This window comes from Homo sapiens, chromosome X, assembly GCF_000001405.40.
Source record: "Homo sapiens chromosome X, GRCh38.p14 Primary Assembly".
NCBI lineage: Eukaryota > Metazoa > Chordata > Mammalia > Primates > Hominidae > Homo > Homo sapiens.
In genome coordinates, this window is record NC_000023.11 from 11,131,663 (window position 1) to 11,152,796 (window position 21,134).

A 21,134-nucleotide genomic window follows, 5' to 3' on the forward strand; every position below is an offset into this window, starting at 1 on the left:
CTCTCATGACCTCATCACCTCCCAGAGTTCCCACGTCCTAATACCATCACCTTCCGGGTTAAGTTTCAATATATGGATTTTGAGGGGACACCAACATTCAGACTCTAGCAGTAAGAGAAGCACACACTAAAAGATAATGCCAGAGAAACAGTGACTCAGACATAAGAATACAAAAAAATATGATGGCAGAAATAGAAACACAGGAAGAAAAGTATGGAAGGAAATAAGTGGAACAGGTTTTGCATATCATAAACATTGCTCATACTCCCTGGGATGGAGCAAGGTACAGTTTTACCTTATTTTACATTTTGGAATTATGTTCCGATGGAAAAGAGCTCTGTGGAGGAGTTAGGAACTTCGTAAAATGGCCTCAGGCAAAAGGCCCTTTAACCTCCTTGGGCCTCAGGTGGCTCACCTGTACTATGAGGGGCTTCCTGTTCTGAAACTGGGTCCTTCTCTTTATCTAGCAAAGAACGTGACCAGATCTGCCTACATCATTTGCAAGTTCCAGTGGAAAATGAAAATGTGGGGCTGCTTGTTCAAAAGTATGAAAATTCCAAGATGGCACTGACAGAGTATTCAAATAGGTGCTGGGCTCTTCCAAGCATGGGGTCCTCTGTGACTGCAAAGGAAACCAACCCTAATTGTGACCACACCATCCCTGATTTCTGCCAAGTTCTTTCTAAGGTGTTTGCTCCACTTCCAGAGACTGTCTTTCCTGTTTGGGGTTTAACTTCAAAATCCAAGCAGCATTTTGTGCTATGGTCATTTCTCTGACTTTTCACCCTGGGACAGACAGAATGATGGATGGATGGATGGTTGGTTGGTTGGATGGATGGATTGATTGATTGATTGATTTATCTATTGATAAATTTATGCAACGATTTATGGTTTGCCTACCAGACACCAGACACTGGCACATTTGCTGGATTTGTGGGACTTGACAGCATCTGCTGCCCTTCTTGCAGTACAGTTTACAAGAGTGACCATTTTATTAGCTGAGATATCTTTGAAGGCAGATTTGGACTTGTCTTATCTGTCTTTCTAATGGGCTTGGAAGCCAGTAGGCCACTGGTAAATATTGACTAGATAAGTTATTGGATGAATCCATCAACCAACCAATTGACCTAATAAAGCCATTGCATGGCTATTATAGCTGTATGAGCCAAAGGAAAATCTAAAGATAATGCTAAACTAATTAAGTGCAAGGTGTCAAATTAATAAATACGCAAATTGAATATTCTTAAGTATAATTCAACCAGGAGAGTTCAATGACTAAATCACACCCATTTTTCCCTGTGGTTTTGCTATCCAAAACTTTTCAAAAATAAAACCCTCTTTAGACCTTTTTAAATTTCAGCTTTAATTTCCCTTACTTCAGTAGGAAATGGGCAGGGAACCCAGAGCCCTTCAATGCTCCCCTGAAGCTGTGGATCATCCCGGAGGCAGGAGCCCTCCCCAGGGGATGGTCCAGCTAAGCCCTCTTCTTTATGAGAGATACCCAGGGGCTCCAATAAATAACCACAGAGCTTTGTTCATAGACTCTGCATTATACAAACAGCAGGTGGCACAGTTGGATGGCCTGTGACCAAATCCTGGTTCTGCACCTTCTAGATGTATGGCTTTGGGCAACTCATTTAATGTCACTTTGAGCCAATTGTGCCCTCTGGAAAATGAGGGGGTTAAATGAGTGAAAGTGCACAAAACACTGAGACTAGAGCAGAAGTTGTTAATAAATGTTAGTTACTACTACTGCATTTCACCACAAGCTTCCCAATTTTTGTTTCTAAAATGGTCTCACATAGGACACCAATTACACTGCCATTTGTCGAATATTTGTTATGTGGCTAGCACTGCTCTACGTATTGTTTCATATAATCCTCAGAAGAATCCTGGCAGTTTGGTGTTTTTATGCTCCAACTATTCTGATAAAATGGAGAGTCTGCAGATTAAAGCAACTTTCTTGAGGTCACCCAGCTGATAAATGGGAAAGACAGCAATCAAACCTTGTTCTCTTGGATGCTGAGGCCCATATCTTGAAACATCCTTGTCTTTTTGATCACTAAGTATCTATTGCATGCTTACCAGGGAGCATAGAACTATACATTTACTTATGTCATTTACCATTCAAATTTTCATCTTAAGAATGGAAAGCCACCCACTTCCTCTGTCCCATACAGTACAGAGCTGAGGTGGTACATCTCTGCAGAGGAGGGCTGGTTGAGAGACCATGTCTCTGTGCTTGCCATCAGCGTCTCCTCAGACTGTCTCCTTCTTTCTTCAAAAATCTATTTTTATTTGGAAAATATATCACTATCTCTGCATTTGCCACGTGGATCATTGGATGAATCTACCAATATTGGATTAATACAAGTTGACAGACATGTATTTTTCCTCTACTCCATGGTAAGCTGCTTGGTCATATTTACACGCATACATTCAGCAAAATTTTATCAAATGCCAACTGTGTGTCAGGTACCCCAGTTCTGAGGGTGCAGAAAAGAAATACATGGTCCCCACCCTCAGGGACAGAGAGGAAACAACGTCCATATAAAAGAATAAGACAGTAACTGTAATGCACAGCAATGCTTGCTCACACTGCCACATGGCAAAGGGCCAGAATAAGCTGTGTAGAATCATGTTTGTAGGAAGGGAAGGTTTGAGCTGATTTTGCCGGGAAAATAGCTTCCAATTGTGTAGGAAAAGCAGGGAAGAGCATTCGATACCCTTGGAACAAAAATGCAAAAGTGTGCTCTGCACATGGGAATGAGGTTTTCTGTACATGGCCAGAGTATGGGGTGCCATGCTTGGGAGAGATAAGAGGCAGAGGTAGATGAGACCAGATCGCGGAGTATGTTGATGTTATGGTGGGGTATGGACTTTGTCCTGTATATCTGGGAGCAGGAGGGCATCAATGGTTTTTCAGCAGTGATGGGCCTCTGACATAATGTGCGCTTCAGAACTATAAACTGTGGCAGTATGGAGGAGGGGTGGGAGGCCAGAGATGGAAGGGCCCACTCTGAGTGGGGTGGACAAACAGTAAACATGTGCACAGTAGGGCAACAAGAGGGGGATCGCAGGCCAGGCTGCTGGTGGGGAGCAGGAAGCGGTGCTCTGCATAAAGATAGGAGTGGTGGCTGGTGAGAACATGGCTTACTGGTCCTTCAGGATGGTTGAGGCATCCAGGGGACATTCAGCGAGAATGTCAAACAGATCACTGGGGAATGGGTGGGGTATTAAGGTTGGAGATTAGGGTTGCCAGATTTAGCAAATAGGTGCTAGGTTCAACTTGAATGTCAGATAAACAACGAATCCCTTTTTAATGTATGTCCCATGCAATATGTGTGATAAAGAATAATTTTTTTAGCATAATTATGTCTCAGGTATTGAATGGGAACACTGTTACTAATACAAGATCAGTTGTTTATCTGACATTCAAATTGAACTGGGTGTCCTGTATCTTATTTGGCTACCCTACTTGAGAGATGCCAAGGTCAAGTGTCCTGGATCCCCCATGCCACCTTTCCCCACCCTGCCGAGTCATAGAATGGCCTGTGTCCCAGATATGGGACTTTTTTGTTTTTTCCTAAACTCGGAACATTCCTGGGGAAACTGGGATGAGTTGGTCACCCTAAGCTGAAAAGATATTGGTTGAATTGAACTTAGAGATGCTTCTAGTCCTTTGGCGACCTCTTGGGGGCCTCCAGTTGGAGCTGACACTGGATGTACCTTGGTGAATTGAGGGTCACACCAGGTCGGGGTGGGTACCCCAGAAACCATGGTCTGCCGTTTGCCATCTCCATGACACCATCTGTCACCTTGACTGTGCCGAAGAAGAATTCCAACCTTTGTCCAAATTTTCCCTTGGTTTGTTTTTTTTTTTTTTTCTCTTGAAGAACATTTGCTACTGATTTAGTTCTGTTTTAAAATTCTCAGTTGAGATGTCCTGTTTTAACCTCTGTGTAACTCTTCTTCAGTCATTTCCTTTCTTCTCAGTTCAGTATAATCTACCTCCCCCAGTTTGCTTATCAGACCAACATACCCCACAGGCCTGGACTTTGTTCTGACGTCCCTTTATATTTAATCCCAATGCTGTTTCTCTGCCAAGCAGATGTGTATTAAAATGTGCATAAGAAAAGAAGCAAGCTGGGTTTATTTAGAAATTTCCTCAATTTGCACAAATTCCATTGGTATAAGAGGGTTTTTTTTTCTATAAAAACCCACAACAAACATATGGTAATAGCTACTTAGATGGATCAAGACAAATTCGTATTTGGCCATTTCTGCCATCCCCATTCTGGCCCCTTTGCCAGAGACACAAAAACAATGGCTCATATTGTTTCAATGTCAATGTCAGAGTATTCATAGATGGAGAAACATATGTGACACACTGAAGCTTTTTTCATGCTTGTTGAAGCTGTCTGTTCATGGGGAATGAGTGACTTGAACAGCCTTTTAAAGGCATTTTGGCCAGCTTGAAAGAGTTTTTTATTTTTTTCTTGTCAGGTATTATATCATTTATAAGGTATTAGAAAGGATAATTTCCCTCAGGTCTTTGGGTTTCATGTACGATTTTTTTTAAACTGCTTATTTTCAATATGATAAAGGCATTTAAGAAACAAGGCCCGGCACGGTGGCTCACACCTGTAATCCCAACACTTTGGGAGGCCGAGGCGGGTGGATCACCTCAGGTCAGGAGTTCGAGACCAGCCCAGCCAACATGGGGAAACCCTATCTCTACTAAAATACAAAAATTAGCCGGGCATGGTGTTGTGCGCCTGTAATCCCAGCTACTCAGGAGGCTGAGGCAGGAGAATCGCTTAAGCCCAGGAGGCAGAAGTTGCAGTGAGCACAGATCATAGCACTACACTCCAGCCTGGGTGAGAGAGCAAGACTCCATCTCAAAAGAGAAAAAGAAACAAGCTGTAACTCACTAAGCTAAAGACATGGCCCCTAAGCTTAAATGTACAAAGAGAGGGAGAGTGAATATTGAGATATATGTAAAAGATATTGTGAGTCCTGTTTTCTGGACTGCTTATTTTAGATCTATTAACAGATGGACATACTTTTCGTGACCTTTTCTGACACAGGCATCAACTTCAGGGCCATTTGATCTGGATGTTTTTTTAAAAATAGGACTACTCTAGCAAGAACATGGTAGAAAGAGAGTCGCATTTATCAGGCCATCCAATCTAGGAAGGAGGGAAAGAACTGATCAGATCATGGTCAAATTCAAAGCCAGGGAAGTAGCATCAGCAGGAGTAGGATGAGAGTAGGTGGCACAGAAAAGCCACCTGCGATCCACAACCAAGCAGCATTTCCTCTGGATCTTGTTGACAACTTTTGGCTGAGTGTGGGCAGTCAGGAAGAACCAGAGGTCTGCAGGCAAATCCTCCCTGAGTCCCAGCCAGTGGTGGAAGTGCTGGACCGGATGGCAGAGCCTGAAGCTATCTCAAACCATTCCCAAATAAGAAATACCACATGCCACTTCTAGCTTTTATTATTTCGGCCCTGAAGCAAATTAGGCATCTAAGGCCCACAGAGCAGGTGTAGCTTAACAGGAATTGCGTTGGGCAACAGCTGCCCAACACAGTTCAGGAAACTCAGGAAACCTGAGTTTCAGTCCTGTAGAAAACCACCTCTTCAACAGTCGAGGAAATCAGCCTTTACTTGCAACAAATTATTATACATTTCTAAATGCTTTGGTGTCACTGAGTTGATGTCCCAAAGCCATCTGATATTTTTAAACCAGCTTTTTTGCTATATATGTATATGCATAGAATTGCCATGATTTATTACACTTGGATCTGTGGATAGTGAAGAATATGTCTGAAATGTGATGCAAATTCATTCAAGAGATTTAAAGCCAGGAAACAAAGCCTTTGCTTAACTTTTTATTCATCATGGCACAAGATAGAACCTTAAGAAACACCACTGGGAATTTCATCACCAACATGAAAATTAAGAGTAGCATGTTTTATAAAAAAAAAAAAAATCTTTTTTTATAATACACTTTCCCTTCAGAAGTGAAAAAAAATTGCATAAAATACTGAAGCGTATCGCCATCTGCTGGTCAAAAATAGTTATGCACTTGAAAAACTTCAAACTACTAAAGTACGGTAGAACATTTTACAATACACATAAAATTACGAAAGAAAACATTTCCTCAGCCTTTGGCACAATGTAAGTACAAAGCTGTAGGCCTTTTACCAAATGTGATTTAGTTTTTAAGGAATTGCATGTAATTTGGCAAATACTGATTATGGGGCAAAGGGAAAAAACATGTTCTATAATTTGAATATTCTGTGTAGATTCTTAAACACTTTATAGTTGGATTCCAGTTTGTAGTTTTGAAAAATACATAAAAATTATACATTATAAATATATATTATATATGGCCTATATAAAACTGAATTTGATGTAACGTGGGACGGACAACTTCTTAATTTCTTTGTGAGGCACTGCCTTTTTCTTGTTTGGTTAACTGAATCCTTTCTAAACAAGTTCTAAAAATATATTTCGTAATCTATCAGATTTAGCATTTTCCTGAAAACGTATTCAATATCTAAAAGCATTCAGTGATTTTTCTTTTTGTATCTGACTCCTATGTAAAAATATGGCTTCTCATATTCTGCTTCCTCTTGTTAGTGTTTGGTATCGAAGGAAGGGTTATCCCCAGTTATAAAGCTATGGCAAAAGCACAGAAACCCGCTTGTGCACATTCTAGAACATTCTATAGAATCTCATTGTTTAGTATATCTCATTGCTTAATATAAGTGAAGTGATTTTTTTTTTAAAAGTTCCTTTTGTTTTCTCTTTGTGAATATATCATATATGATTATACATAATCTGTTACAGAATACACAATAGTCAAAACCGAAGACACATAAATACGGTTAGGCTATACCAAGCAAGAGTTGTATCTTATATTATAGAGCCAAGAGGGACGTTTTTAGATTGGACATTGCCATCTGGTTTGGGTTCTGTTTGTTTTTCCTAAGGCTGGCTACGCAATGGAACCTTATTCTCAATGGCGGGGGCGTGAGTGCTCTACCTCTGTAGGTGAACTGGATTTCTCTTGTGTCACTTTTGAGAAGTGTGAAAGAAGAACACTAAGTGTGCCAGTGGCCACCACCCACGGTCCCCCCTGGGCTGGAGGGCGGGGGGCTCGGGGCAGGGGGGGCTCGGCTGGGTGCGGGCTCAGACCAGCGTCTCGGGCAGGGCATCGGGGTTGTCGGTCGACAGGAGCTCCCAGATCTGCCAGCGCTCTCTCTGCCAGTCGAGCCAGCCAGCGTCCCCCAGGCGCGGACTGTCCTGCTCGCCCGCTGGCAGGGAGTTGGCGCTGCTCAGTTTTTTCTGCGTGACCTGCTGCTCTCGCTCGGCTGCTTGGCCTCCCTGGTCCGTGGGTGTCTCCACGCCTTCCGGGGGCCCCTGGATCCAGGCTGCCGCTGCCGCGGGCTTCCCTGGGCCCGGGTATGGAGGCGGGGGCCGCTTGTCATCCCTCCCACTCCCATGGGGTCTTTGGCACTGAGGTGTGGCCCGGCTCTGCAGCCCGGCCACATCCAGCTCACTCTCGCTGAGGTCGTGGGCGCCGCTCAGGGTCAAGTACTGCTCCGACCTGGCCGTGGGCCGCTCGGCTTTCCCTGCCACCTGGACGTGGGGCGTGCTGCAGGCGCGCGACACCGCAGGGTGGGCCCTGCCCTCCGTCGCGGGGGCTGCGGCCTGAGTCCTCCGAGCCCCCTGCGTGTCGCTGTCCAGCTCTGCGGGGCTCCCCTGCCACCGAGGCCAATTTGGGGACAGGTTCCCTTGAGAAAGGGAGCAGGGCCCCGCTCTTAGGGAGCTGCTTTCAAAAATGTCTCCAGAGGAACCTGGAAGCCAGAGAGAAAGCCCAAGAAATGGAATCAGTTTGTAGAATCCTTGCTGGGGATTCAAATCCTGTTATTTCCTTCCCACTTCTACGACGTCCCCCCGGACTTCTAAAACTGAAACAGCACAGTATGCTCTTAGCTGCTGCTACCTGAAGAAAACAACCTTCCCAGCAAAACAAAAAAAGACAAATGCTTTTTGATTATCGGCTCAATTCATATGCCTAGACTCTGACAGGTTAGCTGAGACGTCAGACTATATTAATAATTGGCTTTGCCACCAATTTGTGTTTCAGGAAAGGGCCCCTCTACATGGCTGGGAAAACTTTTCAGAATCCAGAAGGTGAAAGAAGCATTCCCTTCTTGTTCAATGCAATCTGTAATCCAGGAGAGATACAAATTATAATGTTTTCATGTTTCTATTGCATCAATGAAGTTACTTGAATCTCAAGTACCCCATTCCATGCCAGAAGGCAGGCCAGCCACTATGCATATTCTCCTACCATCAATGCAGGAAAGGCTGACTTGGTGATCACCCAATCGTTCCCCTTTACTTCCTACATGGCAGTTTCCAGCCTCTCTGGCAGTTAGGAGGGCCACAGAAATGAGGTCTGGGCAACAAATGTGGACAGATGTGATGTAAGCCATTTCTAGGCCTGAACTAAAAAAAAAAATAAAAAAAAAAATTAAACCACCCTGGCTAACACAGTGAAACCCCGTCTCCACTAAAAATACAAAAAATTAGCCAGGTGTGGTGGTGGGTGCCTGTAGTCCCAGCTACTTGGGAGGCTAAGGCAGGAAAATGGCATGAACCCGGGAGGCGGAGCTTGCAGTGAGCCGAGATCGCGCCACTGCACTCCAGCCTGGGTGACAGAGTGAGACTCCGTCACAAAAAAAAAAAAAAAAATTAAAAAAAAAAAACTAAACGAATGCCTTCCTACTGATCTTTGCTTTCCCCCTTCCCTTAACTACCAGCCCAGCATGAAGACTCTCTAGGCTCTGAAACTCTTGGAAGACTCCCGGGGCTCTGAGGATGGTGGAGCCACTGGATATGTGGAGCCTAGGCTGGGCCCCTTAGTGACTATGTGGAAGACAGCATTCCCTCCCCTCACACACTCCCGCCCCTCCTCACCCCTCACAGTCCACACTGTACTGGGACAGTGAGGGAGAAATCCAGTTGTAATAGGTTAAGCCACTGCCCCATTTCGGAGTTGTTACAGCAGTTAGCTTTCCCTAAAGGATACAACTTTCTTTAGGAAACTGAAGGGAAAGAAATAACAGTGCATTTTGCAAGGCAAAGGAGGAGTCCTTGGGGCATGTGTACCCAGACTACCATTTTCCTATGAATCTGCTCTGCCCTCCACTTCTTAAAAAGCAGACAAGGAACAAGAACAAGGCCATGTTGGGGACAGGGGAGTGGGGGATGTGAGTATTTACAAAGAAACAAATGATAGCTGAAACAGGTGACAGCTGAAACTGGAAAAGGAAAATGGAGTAAGGCTCTTCACAGGATACAGTGAGATATAGTTAGAAAAGGAATCAGCACTAGAGGGCATTACATTTAAAAATGCACTGTGCTTTTAAAATGTAATATGGGAGATATTACAAAACAATGAGAAAGGGAATATAAATATAAATATAAAACAACCAAACAAATAATTTACACATTTTATACCATATATAACATGTATTCCAGATGGATTAAAAAAATTAAGGTTGAAACAATGAAATGACATTAAAAAGAAACGCATACAGATGACTGACTATCCAACGCTGAACTGAAGATTAATTTTATGAAAGAATTCACAGAGAAGAGACAGTGATAAAATTAATTATGTAAAAAAAGAAAATGCAAGTAAGTAAACAATATGGAAAAAGAGTTAACATCTTTATTATATAAAGAGTTCATAAGAATTTAAAAAACACTGGCATACATAAATAGGAAATGATATAAGTAACAATTCAATGGGGGGAAGTTCAGCAAATTAATAGAAACACTGAAAAATACTGGTAGGAAAGAAATGCAAATCAAATTAACAAATGCAATTTTGTTTTTTAAGTTAGCAAAAGTGAAAACCCACTAACTTGCAATACTGATGAGATTTGCACACAGCAGTGTAAAATCTCCTGCCATCCACAGTTTACAGAATGTAAGGTAGTGGGTCCCATACAGCACAGGAGGTGACTGTACCTCCAGATTCTTGGAAAGCCTTGTTATATTTGACGCACTTCCCTGTTTGGGATTTATAACCTTTGACTTGCTTTCCAAAATTTTGTGAATCTATTAATAATTTGAAAAATTAATTACATAAAAGAGGCTCCTGAAAGTGTAACTTATTACAACAATAACAAAAAATTTCAAATGACTTAGTATTGGTTTGTAAGCTATGATTATGCACTCTGTGGAATACCCCTGGCCCTTAAAAAGGATAATGGAGAGTAACTGGAAAATGGAAGTTAGAAAATAATACAAAGTTGCACAGACAGAGTGACTGTAACTATGAAAACCTTTGCAAAGGAAATGGAAAAAAATATAGTCAAAGATTGGCATATTTGGGTGGAAAGCCTAAGGATAGTTTCATCCCCTCCCATTTTCAGCATTTCCCAAGTAATGTTTGACAAGCATGTAATATAATGATAGTAAAGAAAACTTTAGAAAATAATTTTAAAAGTAAATGCAATAAAGTTTAAAATTAATACTTCACCTGTCATTCCTGGGTCTTTGGATCCGCTTTTTAATGTTGAATGCCAAGTTCCCCAGATATCGAAAGGCTCCTCTGACAGATCTAGGGAAAAAGTGTATAAAAAGGTATATAACACAAAAGGAAAATTAAAAATCAATGAACATTTTAATAACATCTCTTCTGTGCAAAGTATTGTATTCAAGATCCTGTTGTATACAAAACAGAATACAATTCAGATCCACCTTTCAGCGTGTTCATTCTACTTGGGATTTACAAAAAGGCCCTTTCTATATCATGCTCGTGGTAGACAGAATAAGGGCCCCCCCAAAGATATCTGTGTCATAATCCCACAAATCTACAAAGATGTTATTTTCGAAAAGGGCTTTGCAGGTGTGATTAAATTATGGTTCTTGAGATGGGGAGATTTTCCTGGATTATCTGGATGGGGCCAATATAATTACAAGGGTCCTTATAAGAGAGGGGTAGGAGAGAAGATGTTGCTAGACTGTTGGCTTAAAAGATGGAGGAAGGGGCCTCGAGCCAAGGAATGCAGCAGCTTCTAGAAGCTAGAAAAGGCAAGAAAACGATTGTGCCCTAGGACGTCCAGAAGGGAAAGAGGCCCTGTGGACCCATTTTAGACTTCTCACCTCCAGAACCATAAAATAATAAGTTTGCATGTTATAGGAAATGAATAGAAGGGTGATGGGTGACAACAGCTTTATAGGTGCTAAACACATTAACACAGAACTAGAGGAACAATAGAGTTTCTGTACTATCCTCAGGAATACTTTGCTATTGGTATCACTGGATTTCTTCATGCATGCATTCACTCATAAATCCCCTTAGCTTATCCATCAATATTTATGGAGTAAGGCACTACATTAGGCTTTTTCACCATCTCATTTAATCCTCACTACAATCCCATGATGGGATTATAATTACGATTTATAGCAGCAGACGTCTACTGGGTGCCTCCACGTGTTCAGCAGTTCACATGCGTTATCTCACTTCATCCCTAGGAGGTTCCCAGCAGATCATTTTACAGACGATGCAACTAGCGTAAGGAGCAGGTAAGAAATGCACACAAGATTACACAGCAAGTATTATCGAGTGCGTATTACATTTGAAGTGCTGCGTTGAGGGCTTTACATGGATTAGTTCATTAAACTCAATGAATTAAATACTGTTATCATTCTGAGTTTTCACAGCAGGAGGAAATGGGACTCTGGGAAGCTCAATCGCTCACTGGAGATCCTGCAGGTTGAAAGTGGCAGAGCAGGTTTGTGACTCCCAGTATAGTGCTCTCTTGTCATTGGATACTAACACTATTTGGTTCTGGAAGGTTGTCTTCATACATATAGTAGGTTCAGCTTGTTTTCTTTAGAAATGTAACAGCAGTAATTGGGTGGCACCTCAGACTAGCAAATATGCAACCCAAATCCAGTATACATAAAGTTCCTAGGATGCTGGAGGGAAAAAGAATCAGCTGGGAATAGGAGTGGCTCCTCTGGGCATGCGTTTATTTCCCAGATATCTGAGACTTGGAGTGTGGCCTGCAGGGACCCTCCCAGCCAACGACTGGGCTCGCCATACCTTCCTCTTCCTAGAGTAGGCGTTCAGCAGGTACTCGGTAAATGCAGGTTGAATTACAGAAACATCAAATAAGGGAGAGACGAAGAGAAGGTCCGAAGAGCCCCACACCATGCCACATGCAACAAGAGGAGGGTCGCTTGTTTTGGCCAGCGCCTGCTGGCCAGGCTCCAGTTACCTTTCCCAAGCCTTGGTCCAGGAGAACTTTCCCTTGACTTTGACGACGACAAGTGGCCCACCAGCATAAACTGCCCTGGCACTCTGTAAAGCTTCTCCGAGCCCCCCGGGGCCGCGTCCTCTTGCATAGCCAGCAGGGAGCGCTCAGACAGCACTGGGGAGTTGTTGTCATAAGGGGAGATGTCTCCGCTGGAGGCCTTGTTGGAGTCTGTAGATGAATGCCTCCCTCCCACGGAAAAGGAAACTTCCGACTGCAGCATGTCAGGGCTTCTGGCACAATGAGACAATTACAGGTGCGTGAGTTTGTTAACAAGTAGTGACCAGATTTAAACAATATGGCTATTACACAAATGACTGGAGGAGTATGCGTGGACACGGGCTGAAACAAAAAGACCATTTTGAGCAATGTTCCAAGACATGTACATCCATGACGTGAAAGGGTTTCAACGATATGACCAGCAGAGGGCAGTAAAACCCAACAGATATAACAGGAAAAGGCAATGATGGAGAAGGCACGGTGAGAATGAAACCGACAAGGAGCCCTGCATTTGCCAATGGGCATCGCTAAGTGCCTCAGGGACTCATTCCTGCTTCCATTTTTAAGTGAAAGTCTGATGCTCACTATCTATTAGGTAAGGATACACTAGTAGATAACTCTTTCACTTTCCTCAATATCCTGCATTAAAAATAATTCAGATAAAACTATGGTTGACACTTTGCTTGAAGTTCATTATGGCTTTCTGGACAACTTTTCCATCCCACCAAAATACTTACTGTACTTAGTGTAAATAAATCCATCCTTCATGTGATAAAGATGTTGATGCCACCGGTGGGAATAAGTGTTTCATGTATAAAGTAGTGACAAAAACAATAAATATATGACCCTCACTAGACTCCATTTTATTCAAATACATCTAAAATGATTCTACAAGGCACTAGTGCTTTTACAAACTGATATGATGTACTAATTAGTATACCATTATCATAGTTCTGTGTTCATGAGTTGTCACAGAAACAGAAATAACAGTGAAAATGTATGTGGAACAGAAAAATGAGAACTTGAGCAACGTGAAAAGAGCATGGGAAGTCTTACCTGGAAACATCTTTCTTTTCTACCCTCCTCAAAACTGGCCCTGACAACATCTTGAAGGGAAACAATCACAGATTGATTAAAAGTTCCAGAACCTACATCTTTTCCCCCTTACTTCACTTCTCTTTACTAGTCTTTGCTCTCTTTTGGCTTAATTTTTCAAAACAAATCCTTTTTATTTCTTAAAGAAGGTAAACACATGCCTGAACAACACTTTCCTAACCAAATGGTTTTGTGCATGCAAACTGGAGGAAGTGCATTCACAGGGATCTAGCTTCCTCTGAGGTTTCCAGCAGGGGTTAATATCGCCGGGAAAAACATCCCAGCTTCTGTGATACTGCCACAGCCGTAACTGAGGCAAACACGGGCCTGAACCCTTTTGCTGAGGACATTTCCTACCAACATGGAATAAAGAAGCCCCTTCCTTGCCTCCTCTTTGAACTCTCATCACGTAATCTTATGGGAAGGAGCCAGAGGACTGCTATGAGGATGATTTTCCAGGTCTGCAAGATCTCATTGAGTGGTTGTGAAGTGCATCCCAGGGTGGCTGCATCTGTCTCACCTGGGAACTTGTTGGCAATGCCAATTCTACAGCTCCATTCTGGACCTACTGACAGGACTGGCTACACCATTTGTGGAGCCCAGTGCAAAATGAACATGTGATGCCCCGTGTTTAAAAAGCGTTAAGCATTTCAAGATGGCCACTGCAAATCAGTAAACCAAATGTGGGCTTCTTCTGAGTGTGGAGTCACAGCCCTGAAAGTCAGCTCTGCCTATTAAAAGGGAAACTCAGGGTGGGGCCAGCAAATTTTTTAAAGAATCCCTCCAGGTGATTCTGATGCACGGGGATGTTTGGGAACCTCTAATAACCAAACCTTATTTTCCTCTCTCAATCTGTAGATGTGACAGTGGGCTAAAGGTCTGCTAAGAGCCAAATCAGGAGGGAAACCAAAGATGGTAGCCAAAACTGCAGCATTGGCTGCCCTGGGAGTGAATGTGGTGGTCCTGACCTTGGGGTGACTGAGGCCACAGTTAGGAGAAGGAGGAAGGGTGTCCCCATCCCAGCCGATTCCTGGACCTCCTCTGTCTGCCTTAAGCAGGATCCAGACAACTGAATGTAGTGTAGTCCCATTGTGGATCAGAACATTTTGAAGTGAAAGGGGGGTAGGAAGTACCAGTGTAGTGTTCTCTGCTCTTCTGGTTCAGTCTCCTAAGTCAAGCCGGCAAAGTGACCACAGCTGGGCCCTCCATCAGGGAGGAAACAGTGGGGGTGGCTGAAGCGAATCCCTGGAGGTAGAGGTAGATGAGGTGTCTCATAGTAGACACAGGCTCTGAACCTCCTTGGGATGGCTGGGGTCACAGCCAGGGACATAGACAGAGGGGGCATCCAATGAGAGACGATGTCTTCTTTTCACAGTTTCCCCACCCCCCAGTGTATCCCAGCCATGGGAGGAGATACAGTGTGAGTACACATGGCAAGCAGTTTGGGAAATATACTTATGTGAAATATCCCCTTGGCCTGTGAGGAGAGTAAAAGTTAATATTTATACAGAGTTAATTATGTGGCAGGCACTGTACTAAGCTACTGTTAACAACTCTCCTTTTTCCTGACCTGAGTCTGGGATTGAGTGAAAGAAACAAGGAGCTGACTGAATGCTGAATACCATGCTCTCTAGCAGCAGAGGCAGTTAGGGTTGGGATTCTTCTAGAATTTATTTGGTAGATAGTGTTCAACATTATTACAAATCAGTAGTAAAATGCTCTTTCTTACTTAGAGTTAATAGCCTTTTAAAATGTTTAAAATATTTCCCTATCATTTTATTGTCTTAGCAGAGGTCAGGAAGTGGCAGCCAAATTTGCCTAAGAACCTATGTCCAAGAATTATCTTCTCACATGAAAGCACACCGATTAAAAAAAAAAGCTGTTTTATTCACTCCTCAGAACTCTCATAACAACATAGGCAGTTCATAGATTTTTTAAAAAAATAGTGTCATTCTATTGTTTTATATCTGTCAGAAGCAAATCCAGGATCAACATATATACACATACTCACATATACATACATACCCAACACACACGCACATACATATACATATTCAGACATAAACACATACATATACATGCATCAACATATGAACACATACATATACATGCATCAACATATGCACACATATACATATTCATAAACACATATACACACACACAAATATGACATAGACATGTACACATATACACAGACACATATTACATATACACATAAATGCAACTATATACACATGCATATACACATACACCCACTTAGGTGATACAATTGGAAGTAAAGACACAGAACAGAGAGAGAGTAGGATTGCTGAATGGAGGCTGGAGTCCGGAGAAATTTCCAGAGACTTGGAAGCAGAATTGTGAGGGCCTTTCAGAGCATGTCTCTCCTGTAATGGGGGCTGGGCATCCAGTCATTGTGGATACCTTCATTACACACCTGTGCTTCCTGTGTCTGTCCATTTTCCATTTTCCACTTCTAAATCTTTCTATTCTATCCCAGTTTCTGAAACATTTCTAAGTTTATGGAAGCTATTGTAAAAGCAGCTTGTCAAATTTATAAATCAGGTAAAATCTATAAAGTTCTGTAAGATTTTCCATATAAAAATCACAAATCAAAAAACAAATTCTTATAATCCAGAAATTCTGCAAGAAGACAGGGTGTGAATAAATCCGGGTGTAGTGTAGTGGAAATGTGGATGGTAAAAGTTTATAGGAAAGGAAATTTCTCTGACCCTGAAACCTAGAGATAAAAGTGAGAAAAGAAAGAAAAACTACCTTTCAGGCTACAACTGTCAGAGAAGTGGTTGTCTGCCAGGACCAGGGTGCCTGATGGTGGCTAAAACCCATCATTGTGAGTCAGCTCTGGGAGCTTCTTGAGTGGGCATTACCTTCCTACAAACCAGTTCCAATTGGCAGCACTCTAATTTCTGAACACTGGTGGAGAAATGGGCCCAGGAGGGGAGGTTTTAGTGATTTTCCACAGGACACTCAGTGTCAAATCTAGAAAACCATACCATCTTTTGGATATGTCCGAAAAATGAGATAAGCAACCACAATGTTTTCTCTCAGATTTGACTCTAGGATAATCCAACCCTAAGAAGATAGTTTTGAGTTCAGGGTCCCAAATAAAGGCATTAAAATACTCATGTATCTATTTACATGAAATTTTTACTCTGATCAGTGATTCACTAGATGAGGAATAGTCTAAAAGCACATAGTGACATCTCTTTGTATGTCTTGGAGTTTGATGGATTGAGGTTCAGAATGTTGGGTGAATGAGTTGCCAGTTGACATAAGTTGGCATCCAAAAGTGCCTGGTGGCTTCTCTTTCCAGTCTCAGAGCATCATGGATTGAGGTTGGGTGGACAGGTCACCAGTCTACATGGGTTTGCCTCCATGCATGGAGGGTTTCCCCGTTAGACCCCCAAACCCCAGGACCATCTACATACAGCATGCATGGCCAATCTCAGCTAACCAGACAAGCAAGGGATGGGCATGGAGAGCGAGTCACATTCTCACCCTTAGCTGGTCCCTCCAGGTCAGGGCGTAAACATGCTGGCAGGGTACTGTGGGCAGGCCTGCACTGCAGCCGGAAGCACAGAACTTGTTCTGGGGACAAATGGAAAACTCCGGTTCAATCACCGGATGGGGCCCGCCCAGCACCTTGCTGAGCTACCCCAGCAAGAAGAACTGTGGAGGTTTCAAATGTGTGTTGGCTTCATCCTTGGCTTAATCATATGACTGATAAGTTCCAGTCTGTTGGAACTGAAAGCATTGTATCATCCATCTTGGATTATATCAATGGTACTGGGAAAGGAATCCACTGCTGGAGCAGCTTTGGAATCATGAAGAATGTGCACATTAATCACCATCAGTTCTACAAAGCCTCCCTTTGACAGATTGCTAGGGATAAAGGTACCCCACTTCAAAGAGGAACTGACATGGCTCTAAACTCTCCACTGGATGATGAAGCTAACACCCTGGGCATAAGCCTTTGGTGAAATTTTTCCCCTCATTTTTAGTCCTTATTAATTCCCTCCTAATGTCTCTGGCAAATGGAGCACTTATGACAGGTGAAGATCAGACAGTGTTGTTTTCATTATTTACAGAGGGCCTGATAAAAACATCTTCAAATTAACATTCTGCAAATTTATAAAGAAGCTGTGAATCATAGTGAAGGTGTGAGGAAGGAAGGGGTAATGTGATACATTCTCCCTCCATCTTGAATGCCTTTCCATAGAAGGCATATATGCACACATTTTAGAATTTTTCATTATGGAATTCTCTATTCCACATAAGCTTTTTCTAAAACTATCTGGCTGGAAAGACTTTCTTGAATGGAGTATGTGTGTTGGGGGAGGGGGGCAGGGGCAGTTAATGCTTCATAATTTCCAGGGTATTGAGGCCAACAGCTACCGCCACTCAATAGGACTCTTTGCTGTTACATTGTACTGGTAAAGTTAGATTTCTTGTCTGAAAATTTCCTGAAACCCTTTCTGATATGAAAAATCCTAGTAAAAGAAAAACAGAAATTATAATCTGTCACATAACACTCCATGTTTGTGAAAAAAGATATTTTTAATGATGAGCTTTGAAAGATTAAAAGAAATGATCTATGTGATATTTGGTAAGTTAAATGTGATACCTTTAAATTAGAAGAAAGCCTAATGCTCCCCCAGAATGAAGAAGGCAGATTTGTCATTCAATAAGATGAACATCTAGCTAAACAATACAATTATTTTTCAGTACTGAAATTTTATTTTTTTTCAGACTAGTACAGATCTTCAACCATGCTCTTGATACACTAGTCACCAGTTTTGCTAATTTTTAAAATTAATTTTAGTTTAATTTTTTTTCCAGTAAAAACTTTGTGAAGGCTACTAATAGAATTAACCACAATGAAATTTAAATATATATACCTGAGTTTAGTTCATCCATATCTGCCTTCTCTCCAAATGCAGTTAAATTTGTTCTATTTTGATCTTGTTTCCAGAGTATAGAAGGGAAGATACTTTACTTAGCCTTATTTAATTAATATTCTATTTCTGGGGAGCCCCTGAGGTTTGATAGAATAAGAGCAAATCTTTATATGTTTCCTCAAGCCTATATTTAAAAATTACAAGACCTGTTGCTGAAACTAGTTACTGTGTCACAGATGATCTGAGCTCTGCTGAGCTCTCCTGAGCTCTGGATTTATGGGGGATTTTCACATTAATCATGCTTAGTTCTGCAAAGCATCCCTTATGCGGAACTTAGGGGCCCGAGATGCCTCAGGCAAAAGAAAACTGTGTACCTCTATATACATGGTTTTGTGTATATTTTTTTTTCCCAGAACATCAAAGCAGTTGAAAAAATTGAAAAATTGAAAAGAAGATACATTCGAACCTATAATATTTATATTAAATTTAAATGTTTTATGTATGCCCAAACAGAATTTCCTTATTATTTTATTTCAGGTTAATTTAGTTAGAACTTATTTAAGATTGTCACTTGGTCAAGAGAAACTGTCAAACATAGCAATTCTCTCAGTTGGAACCAAGATAAACAAAGTAGATTTTGAAAATCTTGCTTTGGGAGCTGAGGCAGGAAGATCGCTTGAGCCCAGGCGGTTGAGGCTGCAATGAACCATGGTCGTGCCACTGCACTCCAGCCTGGGTGACAGAGCGAGACCCTGTCTCAAAAAATAAATATGACTTATGAGTTGCTTCCATTTAAGGCAGCAGCACATATTTTACCTTTTGTTTCAGGTTCTATGACTAAGCATGGCTAGTCTTTTTAAAATTTTGATATTTTCTTTATCAAACATTTTTGGCATTAGCTTGGATTTTTAAAAAATATTACATTGCAATATAATCAATTTTGCTGACTGAGTTTTCTGGCATTCCCTTAAATTCTGTGTCTAGGCAAGCGTCTCACTTGCCTCTCACTAAGTCCCAGTCCTACTGTGATTCCTTTGTTTTGTTGCAAATATTCACATTCAACATATCCTGTCCTGTTTGATTAACCTCCCATTCTCATTCCCTATTTCCTCACATCCTTAAATCAAAGGGTAGGGGAACTATTTTAAGTACCTTTGAAGAAAAGAGCATATATAATGCTAGTAAACATACCTGACAAGTATATATTTTTAAAAATCAAAGTCTTGCTTTCTTTTTTTTTTTTTTTCCCCCTAGAGACAAGGTCTCACTCTGTTGCCCAGGTTGGAGTGCAGTGGCCTAATCTTGGCTCACTGCAGCCACAAAACCCCGGGCTCAGGTGATCCTCCTGCCTCATCCTCCCGAGTAGCTGGGAGTACAGGCATGAGCCACCATGCCCAGATAACTTTTAAATTTTTCTTTAGTAGAGATGGGGTCTTGCTGTGGTGACCAGGCTGGTCACAGACTCCTGGTCTTGCATTCTTAGTCATAAAAATCTCTTCTAATCCCCCTCTGGCATCCCGTTTTGGTTGAAGCCAAATACTTAAGCAGACAAGCACGAGAAAAAACAAGGAATTATCCTTTAACTCCTCCAATACCGATGTTGCATAAAGAAGTGAAAAACCCAAATCAAAACAAAATATTAAGTTCCCAAATATCACTAAATGTTTGCTCTTTCAAAACAGAAATTATAATATTTTCTTGTTCTTGGTTTTACACTCTTTTGAAACTTGTTTCTTTTCCCCTCCAAATAAAATCTTGTGCAGTTTCCACTTGGCCTCACAGGAATGTAAAGCTTTGTTTAGGTATGTGAACTGGTGGCAGAGAACAGAAGCTTCAGGAAAAAAAAATCAAAGGGTTAGAAGCAAATATAGTGTTTGCTTTTAGACACAATGCTATAACTTAAAGTGAACGGGTTCTCTCTTGTGTCATATTGCCTGGAAGGTTGCTATCTCATGAAAACCAAAGTAGAATCTAGTGATGGCCACGCCTTTGGTAAGTAGTTGTAAATGAGCAAATTGGTGATGTTTATGATATACCAGACTATACACTAAGAGCATAATTCTGTATTTAAGTTGGTGCTACTTTTTATCTCTAGTTTACAGATGAGGAAACTAGAGAGAGAGATCTATCTATGTATTAACAGATATTAACTCTTAACTAATAGACCGCATATATAATAGCAATAGAAATGGAATTGAAACGTAGGCAATCTGGCTCTGGATCTGAAATGGTAACCAGTCTATTAAACTACACAAGCATGTGTTATTGACAGATAACTGACTACACAAACATGTGTTACTGATGGATAATTGACTTGCCAATGCAGCCAGCACCATCTGGCAGTTTAGGGTACTGTAATTTACTATAATTTAGCCTTACAGTAATCTATTGTCACTGCTTCTTGACTTAAGCACCACCCCTCAGCCTGCCATTTAAGGGCTTCTACCTTCACTGCTGGCCAGCCTCTTTATTGTGACCCCAGCTAGCCAACATATTTACTGTTATGTCCAGGTCCTGGTGCAAGCTCCCCAAATATCCAGGCTTGTTTATATCCTCCACAGTCTTCAAAGTTCACTGCAAATCCTTCCTCTTCTCAGAAGCTATCTCTGAGACTTCAAATCACACCTCTTTTCCTTCTCCAAACTCCAAGTGGATTCATGGTCTGGAGCATTGATTCCCTTCCTTTGTCAACACAAGGATGCCTTTTTAATGTCAAAAATCACCCAGCTCAAACTCCCACATGATAGTAAATTTGTGATATCCAACG

General features: G+C 41.7%; 1 protein-coding gene across 5 annotated transcripts in view; it reads right to left on the reverse strand.

The window, feature by feature from the left end:
- The window catches only part of ARHGAP6 (Rho GTPase activating protein 6), a 528,377-nt gene continuing 513,124 nt past the window's right edge, over nt 5,882-21,134 (reverse strand). For 3 of the 5 annotated variants that reach the window (NM_013427.3, NM_001287242.2, NM_013423.3), the window contains exons 11-13: nt 12,318-12,586; nt 10,571-10,651; nt 5,882-7,868 (exon numbers count right to left, since the gene is read on the reverse strand). In NM_013427.3, coding sequence (NP_038286.2) covers nt 7,201-7,868; nt 10,571-10,651; nt 12,318-12,586 — 1,018 coding nt within the window. In that variant the 3' untranslated portion in view covers nt 5,882-7,200. Of the gene's footprint in view, nt 7,869-10,570; nt 10,652-11,734; nt 12,587-16,967; nt 17,058-21,134 lie in introns of those variants that run through there. The other 2 variants (NR_109776.2, NM_006125.3) reach the window with 2 other exon arrangements.